Source organism: Homo sapiens, chromosome 8 (assembly GCF_000001405.40).
Source record: "Homo sapiens chromosome 8, GRCh38.p14 Primary Assembly".
Classification (NCBI taxonomy): Eukaryota; Metazoa; Chordata; class Mammalia; order Primates; family Hominidae; genus Homo; species Homo sapiens.
In genome coordinates, this window is record NC_000008.11 from 53,477,989 (window position 1) to 53,499,062 (window position 21,074).

General features: G+C 44.7%; 1 long non-coding RNA gene across 1 annotated transcript in view; it reads left to right on the forward strand.

The window, feature by feature from the left end:
* The first annotated feature begins 6,099 nt into the window (after positions 1-6,099).
* LOC124901947 (uncharacterized) overlaps positions 6,100-21,074 on the forward strand; it is a 42,576-nt gene continuing 27,601 nt past the window's right edge. The window contains exon 1 of the long non-coding RNA XR_007060913.1: positions 6,100-6,244. This is a non-coding gene — a long non-coding RNA (uncharacterized LOC124901947). The remainder of the gene's footprint in view (positions 6,245-21,074) is intronic.

Below are 21,074 nucleotides of genomic sequence, written 5' to 3' on the forward strand. Positions count from 1 at the left end.
AGTAAATAATTCCTTATTTAATAAAATAGGTGAGAGTTTTCTAAAGTTTCTATAATAAATACTTACCAATAGTATGAAAAATATGCTTAAAATTAGGGAGAATTTATATATATATATATTATGTAAACAAAAAGTCTTTGTCTCTCCATTTTCCCCCACAATGGAGACACTGACAATTTCACTTGTACTTGGCATAAAAATTTTTTTTTTCATGTGGCAAATAAAATATTCTAATCCATAATTAGGAAAATGTTTTTTTTAAATCATGACCTTTGAGGTTTCTGTTGCTTTCTGGACATTCTCAATATTTCTTTTTTTTTTTTTAATACTTTAAGTTTTAGGGTACATGTGCACAACGTGCAGGTTTGTTACATATGTATACATGTGCCATTTGGTGTGCTGCACCCATTAACTCGTCATTTAGCATTAGGTATATCTCCTAATGTTATCCCTCCCCCCTCCCCCCACCCCACAACAGTCCCCGGTGTGTGATGTTCCCCTTCCTGTGTCCATGTGTTCTCATCATTCAGTTCCCACCTGTGAGTGAGAACATGCGGTGTTTGGTTTTTTGTCTTTGCGATAGTTTGCTGAGAATGATGTCTATGCTCATAAATGTTCTCTATACACATATATTATAATATGAAATATAAGTGTGCTTTCAGAGGAGTCATTTTAACTTAATTTATCATTCAGAGTAGCTTCCTACATGAATATGAAATTAAATTTTTGTCTATATGACTTAGATGATTAAACAAGGACATGAAGCTAGCCTCTTAAAATAAATGTTCAGAAGTTAACTTTTTCTCAAGCCAGCTGCCCTCTACTCCAGCACTACCACTTTTCATGTATCAGAAACACTCAAAAACTTAATCATCTTTACCCCAGAATCCCCCATTACACTCTGTTATGGTTTGGTTTGGCCCTCTCAAAACTCATGTTGAATTTTGATCACCAATGTGACGGTGTTAGGAGGTGGGGCCTAGTGGGAAGTGTTTGGGTCATAGTGGGAGATTTCTTATGAATGGTTTGGTGTCATTCTCATGGCAGTCAAAGAGTTCTCACTCTGGTGAAACTGGATTTGTTCTCCTAGAAATTGATTAATTTCCATGAGAAAGCCAGGATGCCCTTCAGGTTTTATCTCTTTCAAGTGTCCACTTCCCCTTGGACTTTCGGCATCATGTTATAATGCAACATAAAAGCCCTCACCGGAAGCCAGGGGCCTGCTCTTGAACTTCTCAGCCTGCGGAACTGTAAACTAAATAAACCTCTCTTCTTTAGAAATTACCCAACCTCAAGTATCCTGTTATAGCAACACAAAATAGACTAAGACATATCCTATATAAGTAGTTACCACATCCCACCCATGTCACCAATAGTGTGCCTCCCTCTTCATGTCCACTGCCACTGCCTTGTTCTAAGCACTCATACCCTAAATTCCAGATCATCTGAATTTCCTAATAGTTGACCTTCCTAGCTTTAGGCTATACCTATCCAAATATTCTTTTATAAACATCCCTTCACTCAGGTCATTTATTTGCATTATAACATTAAAGAGCTTTCGAATTCTTCCCAGTGAAAGCTAACAGTATACTAAACTGTTGTTTATTTCATAAGCTCTTTTTTGTTTCAGTGCTGCACATTTTGATTTCTAAATTCCGCAGTATAGGCCTAGCCTTCTGGTCCAAATAATAGTCTATCTATTCACAAACTTACCATGTTCTCTTGCACTTCTGGGCTCTCTGTCAGGATACTTGTTTCACCTCCTTCCTTTCTCGCTGCTTTTCAAAGCATACCCATTTCTTCAGCCTCAGCTTGTTACAGTTTCTCCTGTCTCTTTTAACATCCCTTGTTGATTTCCTTCTTCAAATTATTTTAGTACTGAGTCTGGATCACAAAATTTAGTATATAACATTCTTTATATTATTTGGGTCCTGTCTCAGGTATGTTACTCATGTTTCTTAAACTTGAATGTAAACTTTAATCATAGAGACTGTGTTTTATATTTTCTTATTATTACATATAATACCTGACACAATGGAGATCACAAAAAATATGCGAAGCACCTTTTTGACTGGTAATAAAATGCAACAGATTTAGTATAAAATAAACTTGCTAAAGTCCTGCTTTTTTCTTTCTTTCTTTCTCTTTTTTTTTTTTTAGGATGGGGTCTCACTCTGTCACCAGGCTCTGCCTCCTGGGTTCAAGTGATTATCCTGCCTCAGCCTCCTGAGTAGCTAGGACTACAGGCACACGCCACCATGTCCTGCTAATTTTTGTATTTTTAGTAGAGACGGGGTTTCCCCATGTTGGCCAGGATGGTCTTGATCTCTTGACCTCGTGATCCACCTGCCTCAGCCTCCCAAAGTGCTGAGATTACAGGCATGAGCCACCACACCTGGCCGAGTCCTGCTTTTAAAATGTGCCCTCCTTAAATAGCAAATTCAAATCAACTTGGTTTTCAGAATCCTAGGAAACTTGGCTGCATGTCACCTGCCATGAAGCAATGGCTCAAATCCAAATGAGAAGAGTATATTTTCACATCAGATTCTGCATTCCTCTTTATCCCACTATCTGCCATCCTTCTAAGTTATTTCAATGTTCACATCAGAGATACGTCCCATATTCTAGTGCACTGGGGGTTGACTTAATCACCTTCGAAGTCTACCTCCTACTTACCCCACCTATCCACTTCTAAGATCATACCCTAGATTGTATTATTTAGTGAAAGGTTTTTATCTTCAAAGTAATATTTCAGATATTCCTCACCACAACCTTCTATCTTTACAGCTTCCCTGTTTAACAAGTCTCACTATCTTTGTCTTTGTTCTCTTTAGGGATCCCACCCTCTAGTTTATAATTTCTCATCAAATTGCCCTACTGTATTCATTTTCCTCCTTATCTGTTATAAGATTAACTGTGTTCTCCCAAAATTCATGTGTTGAAGTTCCAAACCCCAGTGCCTCAAAATGTGACTGCACTTGGAAATGGGCATTTAAAGATGTGGTTAAGTTAATAAAGCCATTAGGGAGGACCCTAATCGAAGCTGCTTGGTGTCTTTATAATGGGGGAAATTTGGACGCACCAGGAAACACCAGGAATGCATGCACAAAGGGGAGACCCTGCAAGGACACAGGGGAAAGGCAGCCTTCTGAAAACCAAGGAGAGAGGCCTTAGAAGCAACCAGCATTGCCCACATCTATACCTAGGACTTCCAGCCTTCAAAACAGTGATAAAATAAATTTCTGTTACCTAGTCTGTGGTATTTTGTTATGGCAGCCAAAGCAAAAGAATGCCCATCTTGGATTTATCATTTCACCTCACTTTCTGCCAATATGTTCTACTCCCTTGGCCCTTTATCCTTTAGTGCCCAGCTAAACCCTACAAATATTTCACAGTGCAAACCAAAACATGCCTGGCAAATTACATACTGATTCTGGGACTCTCAGCTTTGCCTGGAGAGGAGTACTTGTTCCAGGAATGGCTGGACAGAGCAGGAATTGTGTTCCTGGAGAAGAACTCCCATCCCCATGCTGCTCATCCTTTATGCAGGGACTTTGAGATCACCCAATCAATTAACAACATAGGGAGCTCTTGTGGTTGTGAAAGTGCCATTGATAGTAGATCTGGCAGCTGGTTTGCAATTGCTTAGGAGAACCTCATGCTACTGCTGATAGCTCCTGAAAGACTTTGCAGTAAGTTGAAATTCTACAGAGTCCCTCCCAAGTGGGGTTGAGAGCGGCTCTAGTCTCAGTTAACTTGTTGCCAGGCAACCCAAGTGACTCAACAGACAATTTGGTTTTATCACTTTTTGCTTTCACTGCAAATGGCTAGCAAATCCACATTCTTGGATGAATACATGCATCTTCTCCATGACTGCAGTAGACATCTGAATTCTGTTGTAGAAAAAAAGAAAAGAAAGGAAGAAAAGGGTGTAACCTAGAGTTAGGAATGTCACCTATTAGGCAATGCAGGTGATCCAGAATTGAGGCTATAAGAGCTTAGAATAAGGCAGTGGCAGTAGAAATGGACAGGGAGGCAGGCACACTATGGGTGACATAGGTGGGATATGGTAATTGATTACATAGGGTATGTCTTAGTCCATTTTGTATTGCTATAACACAACTGTACAAATCAATATTTATCATAAATTCTCAGATGTCAATCTGCATGATGTTGGCAGTGACTACAAAGCCCATTAGGATTCCTAGTCCTCTCATATTCACCATTGGCATATGCCCCTTATCTAATGGACAAAAATAGGAAGCATAGAATAAAATCTAACAGTGCTCTGCACAAGCAGACGGCACATGGTCTCTCCTCCTTTCCCCTCCTTGTATCTGAAGTGAGCCTCCTCCTGTCAATGCCCCTCCACCTGGCACTATCCACTTTCCTCTCAGTTGCAGTAACTTCAAGTGCTCTATCAAGTTCTTCTAACCTCTTCAAATTAGTGATTAAATATGCTCAGGTGTTTTCCATGTTAAACAAGTGCCAAGAATTTAAGCTTTATTATCAAGGCTTCTGCTGAGCTTCAGAGTGGGAAATGGGACTTAAGTACATTAAACACCACAAAGTTTGCTGTTGTTGGCAAGATTTAGCTTTTTTCTTGAATAAGCTTTCCCTGGGTTGCTGCAAGCATTTGGTTATTTCCAGAGTCCCAAAAATGTTGATTCTTACACTTTTTGCCAGTTTTTTATTGCTTGCATGGAGAGTGGAATTTCAGTTTTCCTCCTTCACCATTTTTGTTGACATAACCTACTTTGTGCCTGAGCCCCTCCATCTACCATCCAAACTCTGTCCTCTTCAATCATAATTTGATTATTTGAGATACCATTGTAAGGAACATGGCTGTGCTTTGGTCAAAGATAGGCCAAGGTAAACATCCAGAGTGACTCAGTGAGTTTAGAGCACAGGTGTATAACTCCATTTGTTATCATAGCCATGTAGACATAACATAGGGAATCTCACCACCATAGCCATAACATAGGGAAGGCTCATCACCTCTAAGCCACTATTGCCTGTAAAAGGTATAATTGCCCTGTTGACACTATACAGGCACTGGCGCCCAGAGAAAGAGAGAGTCAGAGCTGTCCATCTTTGCAGACAGACAGAGGGGAGCCAGAACACAGCTCAGCTCGCTCATGCCCAGAGAGAGAGTTAAGCTGCTGACCCTGAAGGCAGGGGAGAGCCAGCTGTGTAGCTCTATGTGGGAGCTGCTTGCTCAAGCAGCCAAGACAGGGCAGACAGTGTGAGAAAGCTGTTGACGAGAGTTGCTGCTGATGAATAAAATCATCTTTCACCTGCCTACAGCCCCCTGAGTTCTTTCTGCTCATCCACCCACTCCCTTCGGACCTCAACATGACATTTGGCGTAGTCGTGAGCTTGACAACTAGCGTAGTTGGCAGAATGAGGCAAGTGGGTCTTCAGCCTTTGGGGATACCGGGGTTGGCTTTGTGGCGGCAGCATGGGCTGTGATACCCGGTGGCAGTAGTGCTGCTTGGATGAGCCCCAGTGGAAACATGGGAACCAGAGGACAGGTCTCCTTCGAGGGTGGAGAAAGCACGGAAGCAGCTGGAAGCTCAGCACAGAGAAAGAACGTACCTTTGCAAGCAGAGTCGGATGGGCATTTCTAACTGCACTGCAGGAAGTACATGCTCAGTGCCACAGGTAAGGGACCTTCCGGAGCAAGCCGCATGCCTGGGGGCCCAAGTGCACAGCTTTGAGCAGGACCTGGGGGTGAGAGACCTCCAGGCGCAAGCAGGGTACTTGGAGGCCCAGATAAACAGCCTGGAACAGGAGTTAGCAAGAGCTGTTAGTGCGACCTTGAGCCGGTCCTTCAGGCAGGACACTCCCTTTAGGTCTGATGCTGAGGAGGAGGAGGCTCCTCCGCTGCAGGCTCCTCCTGTGATCCGTCAGAAGGTAGAACATAAGCAGCTGATGGGACCCTAGGGGAAAGCCCAGGGACCCCGTCCACAGTGGTGGAACACGCCTCTTATTATGCTTATAACCCCAGTGAGTTGTGGGAATTAGGTAAATAGTGCCGGCAGCGTCTGAGGGAGCTGATAGCATTTTTTGTTCCGCCTCTGAGATGGAGAAGCTGACTTCTATCACAACTCACCCCTCCCTTCGTCAGCAGCTGCAGCTGTGCCAACGGTTGGCACAAGAGCAAGGTGGCCACACATTAATCAAGTGGCTAATGACAGTCATATGGACTGTTTTCAATGATGCCAGAGAGATACTACAAACTGTGAGTAAATGGCAATCACATACTAATTTGGTGCAGATACTCTTGGAGATAGGTATGCGGCAGGCTATGTTTGGTCTGATTACCATGGGGCCAGATGATGAACGCTTTACCTCCCACATGAGGGATCTTGTGCTGAGTTCAGCACCCCGAACCCTTATGGCTTTCTAGCCGCTGTTCTCACCCAGTATGTGGGGTGCCGCATACATGAAGTGACTACTGCTCTGGCAGCCCTCAGGGAGGCAGAAGGCCATTCGCAGGACCGGAGAATCCGCACCGTAAGGAGGGAGAAAATGCCTCATCCGCAGTTAACCACCCCACCAGATAAAAAGGGGCTCCAGGAGGTGACCTGCATGCAGATGTGGATTGATTTACTTGCAGCTGGGGTTGCTCGGGAGAAAATTGACGGGCAACCCAATGGAATGTTGTTGACTCTGTGAAGGCAATTGTCCCGGGAGCAGCAATTCCAGAAAATGCCTAAGGTGTGGGGGGCAAAACAATGTTGTTCAACCTAATCCCTCCCAGACGCTGCAACTCAAGGACTATTTGCAGACAGGCAGAGATACAGAGCCTTTCTTGTTTGATTAGGGAACTGGCCGAGGTCGCCAGCTTGGCAGGGGGAACTAGACAACCAGAGGCTATATGTGGAGCTGGCAATCCACTGGTCCCCCACTAATGTACCGCGGGTCCTAGCACTGATAGATACTGGTGCAGACTGCAGTCTAGTTTATGGGAACCCAGATAAATTTCTAGGCAAAGCTGCATTTATGGACGGTTATGGGAGCCAGTCGGTGAAGGTGAAGCCTGTGTCTCTGCATCTTGGCATTGGCCGCTTGGCTCCCCACCTGTACACTGTGTATGTTTCTCCTATACCTGAATATATTCTGGGGGTGGACATTTTGCATGGTCTGGGCTTGCACACCACGGCCAGAGAATCCAGATTCTGAGTCCATGCAGTAAAGCCAGTACTGGGTGAACATACACATCACCAGCCCCAAGTTCTGCCACAACCCTGACAGGTTACTTCCACTCATCAGTACCGTTTGCCAGGGGGGAATACAGAGGTAACTGAGACTATTAAGAAGTTAGAGGAGGTGCAAATAGTGTGTGGCATCCATAGCCCCTACCATTTTCCATTATGGCCAGTCAGAAAGCCTGATGGGATTTGGCAGATAACAGTGGATTATCGGAAACTGAATAAAGTAATACTCCTTCTGCATGTATCTGTACCTTCTATCATGGATTTGATGAACTTCTTGACAACAGAACTGAGACAATGCCACTATGTGGTGGAATTGACCAATGCATTCCTCTCAGTCGACATTGTTCCAGAGAGGCAGGAACAGTTTGCTTTCATGGGAGGGTGACAATGGACTTTCACAGTGTTGCTGCAGGGCTATATTCATAGCCCCACCACGTGTCATTATTTTATTAATGATGTCATGTTAACCTCTGATTCTCCTGCAGATTTAGAAGTGGCAATGTTCTTCTTGCCTGGGATTGGGATGATGCTCCTGAGACAGTCTTTCTGGTAGCCTAGCGGGCTATTTAGCAGGCACAAGCCATACGGGTAGTGGACCAGAGGTGCCCATTTAAACTAGATGTGCCTGTGACAACAGAGTTTCAGTTAGGGCCTATAGCAGTGCATAGAGCACCTGAGTATGCCAATAGGCTTTTGTTCCCAGCTGTGGAAGGGAGCTGAGCCCCAGTATTCCTTGATAGAGAAGCAGTTAGTAATTGTGAGATTGGGCATTCATGGGAAACAACCCCCTGGATAGGGAAGGCACAGACATCCACTTTAGCGAAGTGGGGCACCTACTTAGAGCAGCAGAGTACACTGAGTACTGGTCTCTTAGGAGTAAAATTACAATAGGTCTTGAAGCCTATAGTCCTAATGCAAGATAAAGTCATGGGGTCTGAGGCACCTCTAGACCCTGAGCCTTTACCATAAGGAAGGGCATCCTCCCATTCCTAATGAGGCATAGTATACAGGTAGGTATAGCCAGAGTACTGCTGCTGCCTGGATTGCTGCTACAGTCCAGCCTAGTACTGACACAATATGGTTTAAAACCAGGTGTAAATAAAGTAGCTAATAAGTTGAACTCAAGGCAATATGGACTGTGATCACCAAGGAGATGACACCTGTGGTAATCTGTACTAGTAGCTAGGCAATTTATCAAGGCTTAACTTTGTGGTTAATTACCTAGAAGTTACAGAATTAGCTAGTTAGTCATCGACCCATGTAGGGCCAGGCCATGTGGCCAGATCTATGAGAGGAAGAACAACCTTCTCCAACCAGGTACAGGGTTGAACAGTAATCTGTTATTGCCTGCCCCAGTACCCCTAAAGGCAGGGGAACAGAAAAACCTGGTGTTAGCCATGGACCCTCCAAGCACCTCATTGCAGATGGTTGGCTATCATAGCCCCCTGGGGGGAGGGGCTGCAGTATAACTTACATGTTACTCCTTGGGTATTTAATGTGTGGCCTCCACAATTAACCATGCATAGGGGAACGGCCAGGGAAGAGACTCTCCTCCAGAGGGCATGTGTACTGTCTGTGTGGCTTAGCATAAGCTCCCCTGTGTGTTTGGCATGGGTACAGCACCCAAAAGGACCACAGGGAGCTGATAAGGTGTGGTATCATCACCCAGGGCAAATGCCCTTGGTGGCTGCACTGTTATCGAGAGGTGAAAAGTTGGCCTGTATTTTGCCTGAGGGACATGATTTACCCCTGTTAGTACCTGTGCTTGCTTTGTCATTCCAGCCATAGGTGGCATGCTCCAACAGCATCATGTTCTGGGCCCACACCTACACTGAGGTGACCAATGTCTTCAACTGTTGTATCTGCACCACCCTTTCAGCAGCAGCTGCAGGCAGCTTGCCCTGGAACGTGCATCCAGCTTCTGTGCAGAACTGGACATGGCTAGAGACTTGGTGTTCAATAGACAATGCAATGGTGGGCTTTGGATAGGGGGACGTCCCAAAACCCATGGCAAGCCTGCCACTGGCTGACTTATAGTGTCCATGATGGATGGGGCTGGCTAACGGGAAAACATGTGGTGCCCCCATTGCAGGTACCATGATGTATAGGGGAGCACTGGGGTAAAGTCACTGAGGGATTATTGCTGAGGTTTGTGCAAACATAACACATGCCGCGAAACCAAGGGTGTGGTGGAATAAGTTGCCTTACCAAGGCTGGACCTTCATGGACTTTATGCCCCCAGGGAGTTTATGGGTCTGTGGGGACACAGGATGGCCATATCTACCAGCCAATTGGACTGGACGTTGTACCTGGGGGTGGCTTTCTGTGCCTGCCACTGTGTTTCCCACATTGCCTAGTCATCCACCTAACTGGAAGGTGCTATGTTCCTGGTTTTTACGAGTTCAGCAAGCCCCCTAGTGACTCTACCCCTAAGCGATAACTATCCCTAGAGCAGGTGTCGCTACTGTAGAAATGCAAGTTACAGCCCTTGCAGAGCACACAGTTTGGGCCCTGAATTACACCCGAGTTGCTCTCCTTTTTGTTAACTGATGAAGTCAATCAGATCAGGAAGTTGGTTCTGCAAAACCGGATGGCCTTAGACATGGTCAGAGCTGCCCAATGTGGCAGCTGTGCCCTTGTAGAGACGCAATGTTGTACATTTATTCCTGACAACCACCAGAACATAACAGCAGCCTTATAAGGGGTGTCACAGGATATTAAGGTGATTGAGTGCCTTACTGATGACCCCCTGCAGAGACGGTGGGCTTCTCTAGGCTCTGGCCTATGTTGGGCTCTAATAATCACAGGTAGCATAACAGGAACGTTAGTGGTAGTCTGTTGTTCCCTGTATTGTTGCTGTGGCCTATGGGTCCAAGGTGCTGCCCTATGTGCATGGGTCCCCACTAAGGACTCCCTTAGCCTAGGGGATAGAATGTAAGGCCTGTGTGCCAAACCTGTTTATCAAGCCTATGTGCCCCAAACTTATGTATAAAGCCCATGCCTGTGTATATTGAGTCTATGTACCCAAAGTTTATGCATATAACCTGTGTATCAAGCCCTACGTCTCCCTCAGCCCAGGGGGTGGAGTGTAAGGAACAAGGCTGTGCTTTGGTCAAGGGTAGGCCGAGGTAAACATCCAGAGTGACTCAATGAATTTAGAGCGCAGGTGTACAACTCCACTTGTTATCACAGCCATGTAGACTTAACATAGAGAAGCTCACCACCATAGCCATAACATAAGAAAGGCTCATCACCTGGCTCTAAGCCACTACTGTCTGTGAAAGGTATAATTGCCCTGTTGACACTCTATAGGTGCTGGCACCCAGAGAAAGAGAGAGTGAGTCAGAGCTGTCCATCTTTGCAGATGGACCAAGGGCAGCCAGAACATAGCTCAGCTCACTCATGCCCAGGGAGAGAAAGAGTTAAGCTGCTGACCCTGAAAGCAGGGGAGAGCCAGCTGCGCAGCTGTATGTGGGAGCCACTGGCTCAAGCAACCAAGACAGGGCAGACAGTGTGAGAAAGCTGTTGATGACAGTTGCTGCTGAATAAAATCATCTTTCACCTGTCTACGGGCCCTTGAGTTCTTTCTGCTCATCCACCCACTCCCTTCAGACCTCAACATGACATTTGGCATAGTCGTGAACCTGACAACTCTTCACATTCACTGTCACCCTTGCTTACCTCTCTCTCCATCCTCAAGCCTCTGCCATCTGGCTCCCACTCTCACCACTCCACTGAAACTTCTCTTTCTAAAGTCACCAATGACCTCATGTCCAAAACACATCACTTGACCATTTTCTAGTTTTAAAAACACTCTTTATTTTGTGCTTCTGTGATGCCACTCTCCAAATACTCAGCTCTTAACACATAGTAGTCTCTAGCACATAGTAGGGACTCAAAAATATATGTTGAATGAATGAATGAATAAAAGAATTGCTTCACTTATCTTTTTGCCACTCTCACTGTGCTGTAGATGCCTCTTTCTTGGTCCATCTCTTTGCCGCCTGTGGTTGCTCCTCAAGATGCAGTGACAGGCAATCTTCTCTTCTTATTTTACACTGTATACCTAGATGCCCTTACCCATTTGCAAGCCTTCATTTGTCCTCTGTGGGCAAACTCAAGACATCAAAACCTAAATCATGGAATGAATAGATGGATCCCAGAGGATTTTAAGAGCAGTGAAACTACTCTGCATGATACTACAAGGGTGGACACATGTTATTATAAACATAACCAAATCCATAGCATGTACAAAATCAAGACTGAACCCTAACATAAACCATAAACCTTGGGTGATGGTGATGTGTCAGTGTAAGTTCATGGATCGTAACAAATGCACTAGTCTGGTGGGGTATGTTGAGGGAAGGTGAGGCATGTGCAGAAACTAGAGATATACGGGAAAATTCCATATCTTATGCTCAATATTGCTATGAACCTAAAACTGCTCTAGAAAATCAAATCCATTGAAAAAAAAAACACTAAATCACCATCTTCCCCAATAAATACTAAAACCACTCACCAGGCTTCTTAGCCAGAAGCCTAGGAGCCACTCTCAATTGATATCATTCTTTCCACTAATAATGTTTCTACCAATAACACTGGTAGGAATGTTATTAAAGAAATCAATATTATTGGTAGAGAAGATACATGCATGTATTGGCCATCTACTAAAGTTTGTATAGTATAGACTAACTTCCCTAGGGAACTCCAGAAAGGTAAAACAAAAAGCAAGTGAAATTGCAAACTCCCACTGGAGCCAACTAGAAGAAAAAAAGTAAACTGGATTCAGATTGGAGACATTTCAGACACTGGCTGACTGGGCACAAAAGTGGCTTGTATGCCGCAGGATTAAAGATGAATCTTACATTAAGAGAGAAAAGGCATTTTGGCCTTTGTTATCAGGAGAAAACTCACTGCCCTCTGTGAGAGCTTCTCTAGGTAGAGGATGATGAACCCTTGCTAGATATGTTGCCTTTGCAATACTGGACAGAGCCTGGACACTGAATATAGACTAAAGTCTACAATGAGACCAACACAGATCCCTGCTAACAGGGATGTTGTGGAAAAGCAGGCTCTATAAAATTTTATATTAAGAGAAATGCAATGAATCAAAATGATGTTAGTAACTTTCACTAAAATATTGCATACTGACATTATATCTCTTGAAGCTATATTTCTCTGTCAATTTTTATGTTCTATATAATCTATGGCCAAATTGTATTGTTTAAAATGGAAAAAAAAAACATATATGTTCCGCCTTCTTAACTGCCAGCTTCTTATATAAGACATTTATTTTTCAGGAAAAAAAATCTCAAATGTGCTCTAGCAGTTACCTAGGAGACAAGAAAGGACAGGACATGATTTGGACATATCTGAGACTCTAACCCCCAAAATTCTAACATTTCATACCTAAATAATTAGATGATGTATGCTATATCCTTTCTCTAAGTTCATTTCACATTTAAGAATCAGGTGTTTATTAAGATTTTAGAAGCTTCTGATCACCTTGTTTGGGTAGATTTAAAAAAATAAAATGAAAAAAGTGTCAGTGGCCTCTTAATAAATTAACTGACAAAAAATAAAGCAGGAAAATACTACACAAAACAAAATGTTAATATCTTCACCGGGATTGAATAAGATTTCATTAGAAATCCACTTTACATATTCTTTACCTTCAAAGGTCATCCTATTGAATTCAAAAATTCTCTTGAAGTATCTTTTCCAGTCCTAACTCGATAGAGAAAGAAATGCAATCCCTGTGTAATGGTAGAACATAAACCTCAAAGACTCCCTTCGCTTTTTTCTAAGTAACATGGACTGGCAAGTACAAGAATGGACTAAGAACAACAGGAGTTGAAGTATCCTAATTATCTGGGGGGTGTAGGTCGACCTAAACACACCTGTGCTCTTCTTCTCATCTAACCTTACCTAAGTCACTTACATGAGGACAGAAAATGAAGCCAAGTCATCACACTTCTCAAAGAATCCAAGAAGAATTATTGGAAAGGAACACCAACAGACCACCAAATCTAGTTTCTACTATCCGGCCACTACAGGACATGACCAGGGAGTCTCTCTTTTTAGAATTCTCCAGAGAGAAATACCCATCAATTTCCCTCGGAAACTTTCAGTTTCCTGAGTCACATATAACAAATTATGACACAGGTAGGAGCTTAAAACAACAGACATTTATTCTCATAGTTTTTGAGGCCAGAAACCCAAAACCCAGATGTCATCAGGACCATACTCCCTCTGGGGGCTCTGCAGAAAAATTCCTTGTCAAGCTTCCATAGTGGTGGACACAACACTCCAATCTCTGGCTCCTGCTCACGCTGCCTCCTTTGCCTCCGTGCATGTCATCTCCCTCTGCATCTCTCACAGATGCTTGTGATTGGATTTAGGGTCCCCCAAATAATCTAGGATAATCTCCCCATCTCAAGATTCTTAATCACATCTGCAAAGACCCTTTCTGCCATATAAGGTAATACACACAGATTCCAGGAATTTGAATGTGGATATCTTTTAGGAGGAATGATTATTCAGCCTACCACAGAAACCCATGAAGTTTGTTACACTCAACCCATATAAACTTTTGGATGAGTTTGAGACAACCTGATTTAGTAGTTGGGTGGTTTATTTATTCATTCAGTTAACTGATATCTAGCCTGCACTAACTGCGCCAGATATGCTAAGCCTGGGAATACAGCTGTGCAACAGACAAACATGGTCGTGGTTTGCAGAAAATGAATTTGAACTCAAACACTTGCAATGTCATGGAAGTTGCAAATGGCAGATCCATGGTGAAGGGTCTATTTATAATTGGGAAATGAAGTAATGTGGCTTTTTTTTAAATAATATGTCATATTACTTCATTTCCCAATGAAGTAATCCCCATTTTCCCAATTAAAAATTCCACTGCTATTGAGAATGCCCAGAGGAAGGACTGGAAATGCCCAAGCAAGACAGGTAGGCAAAGAGCTCCCATGCAATGTCAAAGGTACATACATACAACCCAAGCTGGATTTCTTTCTGTCATTCCACCCCATATCTCACTAGAATATCATGCAGGGGAGAAGCTTAGGGCTAGGAGCTAGAAAAAACTGTCAGGGTCTCTCATCTTGCAGGCATCAGATCCTCTGCCTCATAGCCTGTATTTTGATAGGTTTCATTATTTTTTTCAGGTGTGGTGAAGCCAACAGATCAGGGGACAACTACCATTGAAAAGATTGTGCATTAAACTCACAGATCCCAAGAGAGGGAACGTGCATCACACCACAGGGCCACATGGGGACTCCCCAGGGTCGCTGAGAAGGCGGTGGAAGAGGTCACTGTGGGCAAGAGCCTTTATTATGGTTTCCAAGGGAAGCAACGGGAGGTAGGGCAAACAAGCTCAGGATGGGCTAGTTTAAATAATTCCAGGGGCTATCTGGTATCTGGTATGGTGATAACGGCAGGGGGATGGTGGTTCAGAGTGTGAGAGCCAGATAAGGGAGGTGGTTGGGGGTGCAGACTCTGGATTAGGTGGTTTGCCTTTGAAAAGCACACTTCAGGAGAAGGACTCCTCTTGATGTGGAGGGTGGTGATGAGGGAGGCGGGAGGCCAAGACAAGGTGACTCAGGCTGTCCAGAACAAGGCGTCGGGTATCATCACAGAGGCAGATGTTAAAGTATCAAGTTTATAGGTGCTACAGACATGGTTAAACACCACGCCTATCAGTTCAAAGGACCATGACATATATTCCTGAGAGGGCTTCAGCAATGTTAACTGCTATACAAATTCACAATATGTGTGGTTGTAAGAAGGACAAGTACCCTGCTGGCCTGAGTGCAGCTGGTCCCACGTCCGTGTTTCCTTCTGAAATTGGAAGGGAGGCAGCCTATATCCTCACCATCGCATGATCTGCTTCTGGTCAGTGCACTCCCACTTTGTCAAAGTTGTCTTGGTAACAATATTTCACCATCTCATGGGCTAACATTTAAATGATTATTATTACATAATTTCAACATTTATTTTAGATTCTGGGGGTACATGTGCAGGTTTGTTACATGGGTATATGGCATGATGCTGAAGTTTGGGAGTATAGATCCTGTCACCCAGGTACTGAGCAAAGTACCCAATAGTTAGTGTTTCAATGCATTCCCCCTCCCTCCTTCCCTGCTGTAGGAATCCCCAGTATCTGTTGTTGACAGCTTTACGTCCATGAGCACCCAGTTAGAACATGCAGCACTTTTCTGTTTCTGCGTTAGTTAGCTTAGGATTAAATATATATAAATCCCCAAAGTAATGACATCTTATTTGACTGATTACATGGCTTTTTTTCTTTTGGTGCTTTTTTTTTTCTTTTTTTTTGAGAAGGAGTCTCGCTCTGTGGCCTAGGCTGGAGTGCAGCGGCTTGATCTCGTCTGGTCTCATTGCAAGCTCCACCTCCCGGGTTCACACCATTCTCCTGCCTCAGCCTCCCAAGTAGCTGGGACTACAGGCACCTGCCACCACACCCATCTAATTTTTTGTATTTTTTTTAGTAGAGACGGGGTTTCACCGTGTTAGCCAGGATGGTCTCGATCTCCTGACCTTGTGATCTGCCTGCCTTGGCCTCCCAAAGTGCTGGGATTACAGGCGTGAGCCACCATGCCCGGCCATGGCTTTTGTTTTTAATGACGATTTGGTTTGGGGTATATTGTGAACAATATCCGTGCTCCCCTTCGTTCCAAGTTGACACAGTGCCAATGTGCACAACTCATTCCTCTTCTCTGCTAATTTGTCCTTTGGGTAATAGTGCTGTTTTTTAAGATGGTGATGTAAGTCAAAAGAAGAACCTCTCTCTGGTCTGCAGAGATAAAATAAGAAAGTGATCTGTAGCCCTGGATAATGCCAAGGAGAATATTTTTTAACATTGTTTAAAGTCCTGCTGCTGTGAAATGTCTCATGAACAGCATGATGTGAAAACTGACATCTGTCAACCCTTGGAAAGCTAACCCTGTGGAGCTCCCTTTACAGCTCAGCTGGCAGGTGTTAGAAAGGATAAATGGCACATGAAGAGAGCCTCCTCTTCAACAGAGACAGAAACATACTTTCCATTCCAACCACAGAAACATCAACCCTAATTTCTAAAGTGAAACAGCTCCAGCAAAACTCTAAACAGCTAAAGAAGGTATTATCCAATTTCCAATTGCTAGTCTCCAACCCCAGCTACTTACCACCCGGTTATACACATTCTTACACAATGAAGCATAGAATCTGAGAGCTAGGAAAGTCTTCAGTGTCCTCCAGTGTAGATGTAATTACCTCTTCATCTGAGACAAGATCACTAAACCTAGAAAATAAGAACTGGGGCCAGGCACAGTGGCTCACACCTGTAATCCCAGTACTCTGGGAGGCCGAGGCTGGTGGATCACCTGAGGTCAGGAGTTTGAGACCAGCCTGACCAATATGGTGAAACCTCATCTCTACTAAAAATACAAAAATTAGCCGGGTATGGTGGTGCACACCTGTAGTCCCAGCAACTCAGGAGGCTGAGACAGGAGAATTGCTTGAACCCAGGAGGTGGAGATTGCAGTGAGCCGAGATTGCGCCATTGTACTCCAGCCTGGGTGACAGAGCAAGACTCCATCTCAGAAAAAAAAAAAAAAAAAAGACACTAGAATGCTGTGTCTGATTCGAGGGTCACACTCACAGAGTGGCGCTGATGGACAGGCAGGAGTGGACAGGCGGGGAGGAGGCTGGCGTCCAGTGCAGGAAGGCCTAGAGGAGGGAGGAGGGGCTGAGCTGGCTCTGCTGTTCACTGCAAACTTGAACAAGTCAGCCACCTCCCTGGGCCAGGGTCCTCATAGATTAAGTTAAGATGTTGTAATTGGATGGATAAATACACAAGAAAATCACAATAATAATAATTGGATGGGTGAAATAATGTCTATGACACTGCAGGAATAGACTCTTGGCAGGGCCTGCTGAAACTGATGACCTCCCCAGCCACAAAGTCTCAGCAAGACCGTGGGCTGCTTTCCGGACTTCATTTGTCCCCTGAGCACCTATCAGAGCCCCCACTACACCCACGTGGAAAAACAAGCCATAGGCACAAACCTCCTGGAGGCCTCCACTGTGGGGAGAATCCTGATGATGTGCCTCTTGTACCTGGACCACAACTTGATCCAAAGGACCACCATCCCCACGGGGGGGTCCTTTGGCAAGCCTGCAGCCCTGTCTTCATCTGGAACATCCCAGGCCAATCCCTGCTTTATCCAGATATTCCCTGAGTTTCCTGTCCTTGTTATTTAAAAAAATGCACATCTTCCACAGTCTTCTGCCATCTTCCTAACACATCATGGTTCTGTGGCAATGACCACATGATACCTGCATCCTCCAGGTCTCTGGGAGTCTATGGGTCCCTTTGGGTCCCCTATGGGTCCACTGGGGAAAGAAGAGAGAAGATTCAATATGCAACACTAGAGCAAGCTACATCGATTTCATGTGTAAAGAAAATTAACCTCTTATGAGAATAAAAAGTGACTCAATTTAAGAAAGCCATTTCAAGCCTTCAGACAAGTTCGCTCGGAACAAAATTCTTCTGCATTGCCACAGAATCTGCAGCAGAGGCTGATGAACTCCTGGGGGTGAGACTGGAGGAAGGAAGAAGCATTGGCTGGGAGAGAATGAGGAGGAGAGGGGCCAGAGACATCCGGATAGCTTCCAAATGTTTGAGTCTTGGAGTCTGTTAGAAAAAAATGAAAAGGAAAGAAAGAAAAAGAAAGCCAATAATTAACCATAAAAACGAGCCAGTAGCCACCAAGGAGAAAACAAAGTTTGCCAAAAGAGCCGGCTGAATAGATTGTATATATCTGCTTGTCACCAGCTTTTGGAAGCAGGAGTGGTGACACAGTGCAGCCTGGAACTGCAAAGCGTGTCCCCACCAAAAGGAGAACTGACTGCCAGCAGCTTCTCATGTCCTCTTTGCCAAGAACATTGTCAAGGTCAGGGCTCAGCAATCTTTCCCACTTAAAAAATTTTAGTATACCATGTTTTTGCCAAGCCAGCATCTCTTTCCATGAAAACCCAAAAGAATGAAGTTGGCAGCACAAAACCCTGGGCCTGGACTGGCCCACCAGCCGCTAGTTTGGGTTTTTGTTAGAGAAACAATTAGTGACTTTTATGCTTGGACCTGGAGAATCCTCAACACATTTGTTTAGGCTAACAAGCTGCACACATCAGCAGTGTGCATGCTGGAGTGAGACTAGCCTGGAGCAGATGCATGGGAACCAGTCCTCCCACCCACACAGAAGGAAGGCCAGGTTGTGGGTATTTACTACTTACCAGCCCACAACTGCCCTGCACCCACCTAGTGCAGAAAGCGGTAGAGTTTGGTGGCTGAGACCAGGCGCTGGATTCATGCATTCTGCAAATAGCTATGCAGCCCCAGTGTGTGTCAGAGGCTGCACTAAGCCATGAGATTCCAGTGGGAAACAATATATGCATGGCTTCATCCCAGTGAGTTAGGGAGACAAACACTTAAAACCAATCACAAGGCTGTACTCAAGGGTTGCACGCTGCCGTGAGTGTTAGAAAGGACACACCTACAAGAGCTGCAAGGGACTTGCACATGAAAGAAGGCGAGCTACTGAGTGAGGAAAGGAGGGAGGAGGGAAACTGTCCAAGGGTAGGTGCTACCACCCCTCTGCAGAGCCTTGGAAGCTTCCTTTGCTCCTGGAACAAGAACAAGAACAGCATGTGCGTCCCATGGTGTGGCCCCAAGCTTCGGGCATGGCAGTACATGGACACTGAGCACCTGCCTTCTGAGAGTGCCAGGGGTGGGTTAGCACCAGGAAGTGCCCTTCCAACTCCAAGATCTGATGCATCAGTACACAAAGATGTTTATTCACTTTGCATACTTAACAGGCAAATCACTCTCAGCTATAAGATGCACTGAACTCTTTAAAGAAAACAAAACCAAAATTAAAAAAAAAAAAACCCTTGAGACTAAAATGCTGTTTATTTCCCTCTATCATTATGGTAAGTCATGTAGAATGGCAGGAAGCTTGAAATGGTAACCTAGAAGCAGCCCAGGACAATGAGACAGGGCATGGGCCTGGGCTTGATTTGGCCACTGGGTCTCCTGGTACCTCGGCAAGTCCCTTTGCCCTGCAGAGCCTCAGCTTCCTCTCCAAGCAAAGACAGCCGAAGGGGGTGTTCTCAGGGCCTCTGTGTGGTACTTCTCAGGCTTCTCTTTCTGAGATACGGTTTCCTCCTCAGTAAAATGGAGATAGGCCCCATGCCTTGCTCCCGGGGCTGTTGTGGGGATTAAGTCCAGGGACCCATCATGCCCCGTGACAGTACAGTTAATGCCAATAATGAAGGTGAGCTGAGAGCAGTGCTGCGACCCCACGCCAAGGACCTTCGAGATGGCAGGAGTGTGAGGCGTACAGGAACACACCTGGAGTGGGTGGACGCCCGTTCCTACAGGGCCAGCCCTGCCCAGGAGCCTGCTCCTTGTTCTTCAGTGCCCAACATAATAGAGGGAGTAAAAATCAGCCCTGTGCATGGCAAAGTAAATCAAGTGTAGTTTATCATAAGGGTAAAATGCAGACATATATATGTAGAGGCACCTAAACCAAAATAATAATAAAGGACATGATATAAAAACAAGAAAAGAAAAAACAGGCCAAGTATGGTGGCTATGTTTGTAATCCCAATACTTTGGGAGGCTGAGGCAGGTGGATCAGTTGAGGCCAGGAGTTCGAGGCCAGCCTGGCCAACATGGCAAAATCCCATCTCTACTAAAAATACAAAAATTATCCAGGCATGCACCTGTAATCCCAGCTACTTGTGAGGCTGAGGCAGGAGAATTGCTTGAACCTACAAGGGGGAGGTTGCAGTGAGCCAAGATTGCATCATTGCACTTCAGCCTGGGTGACAGAGCGGGACTCTATCTCAAAAAAAAAAAAAAAAAAAAAAAAGAAGAAAAAAAGAAAGAAAAGAAAAGAAGAAATGCACACAAGTACCCAGCATTTTTTCTCAGAAATTCAAGTTGGAATGCTATCCTCTGGCTAAAACATGAACTGGACAGCCCTCCAGACTCTAGCACACCCTTCACCAAGGCCCGTCTGCTCCTGGCTCTTGCATGGGGTGATTTCTACTTTTTTATAAGCCCGCTCTCTGTACACACTATAAATTCCTCCTCCTGGAAGCCCTCCTTGGTTCTCCCAGGCAGAGGGTATTACTTGCTTCTTTCCCCAGGGCACTTTGCTCCTATCTGTCTTACAAAAATTGACTATGATTACTTGTTGGTACTTCTGTTCAATGTGCTAGAACTTTGCAGAGGTGTGCTGAATAAACACTTAATAAATACTATTTGTTATGGGTTGGGTTGTGTCCCCACAAATCTTTATGTTGAATCCTAACCCCCAGGACCTCAGCATGTGACCTCATTTGGAATAGATATAATTAAATTAAGACAAAGTCACTAAGGTGAGCCCTAATCCAGTATGACCAGTGTCCTTATAAAAAGGGCAACTCAAACACAGCTACACTCATGGGAAGAAGCCCATGTGAAGATGAAGACAGAGATCAGGGCACTAGACCTCTACAAGCCAAGGAACATCAAAGATGTTCAGCAAACCACCAGCAGCTAATGTGTGCTGCTCATTAGCCTAAACAGGAGACGCATGGAACAGAGTCAGCCCCGGAGCCTCAGAAGGACCCAACCCTACCCACACCTTGATTGCTGGCATCCAGCCTCCAGCACTGGGAGGCAATACGCTTCTGTGGTTTAAGCTATGCAGTTTATGGTACTTTGTTATGACAGCCCCAGTAAACCAATACACTTAATAAGCAAACTGGATCAGTATGGGAGTCTTAAGG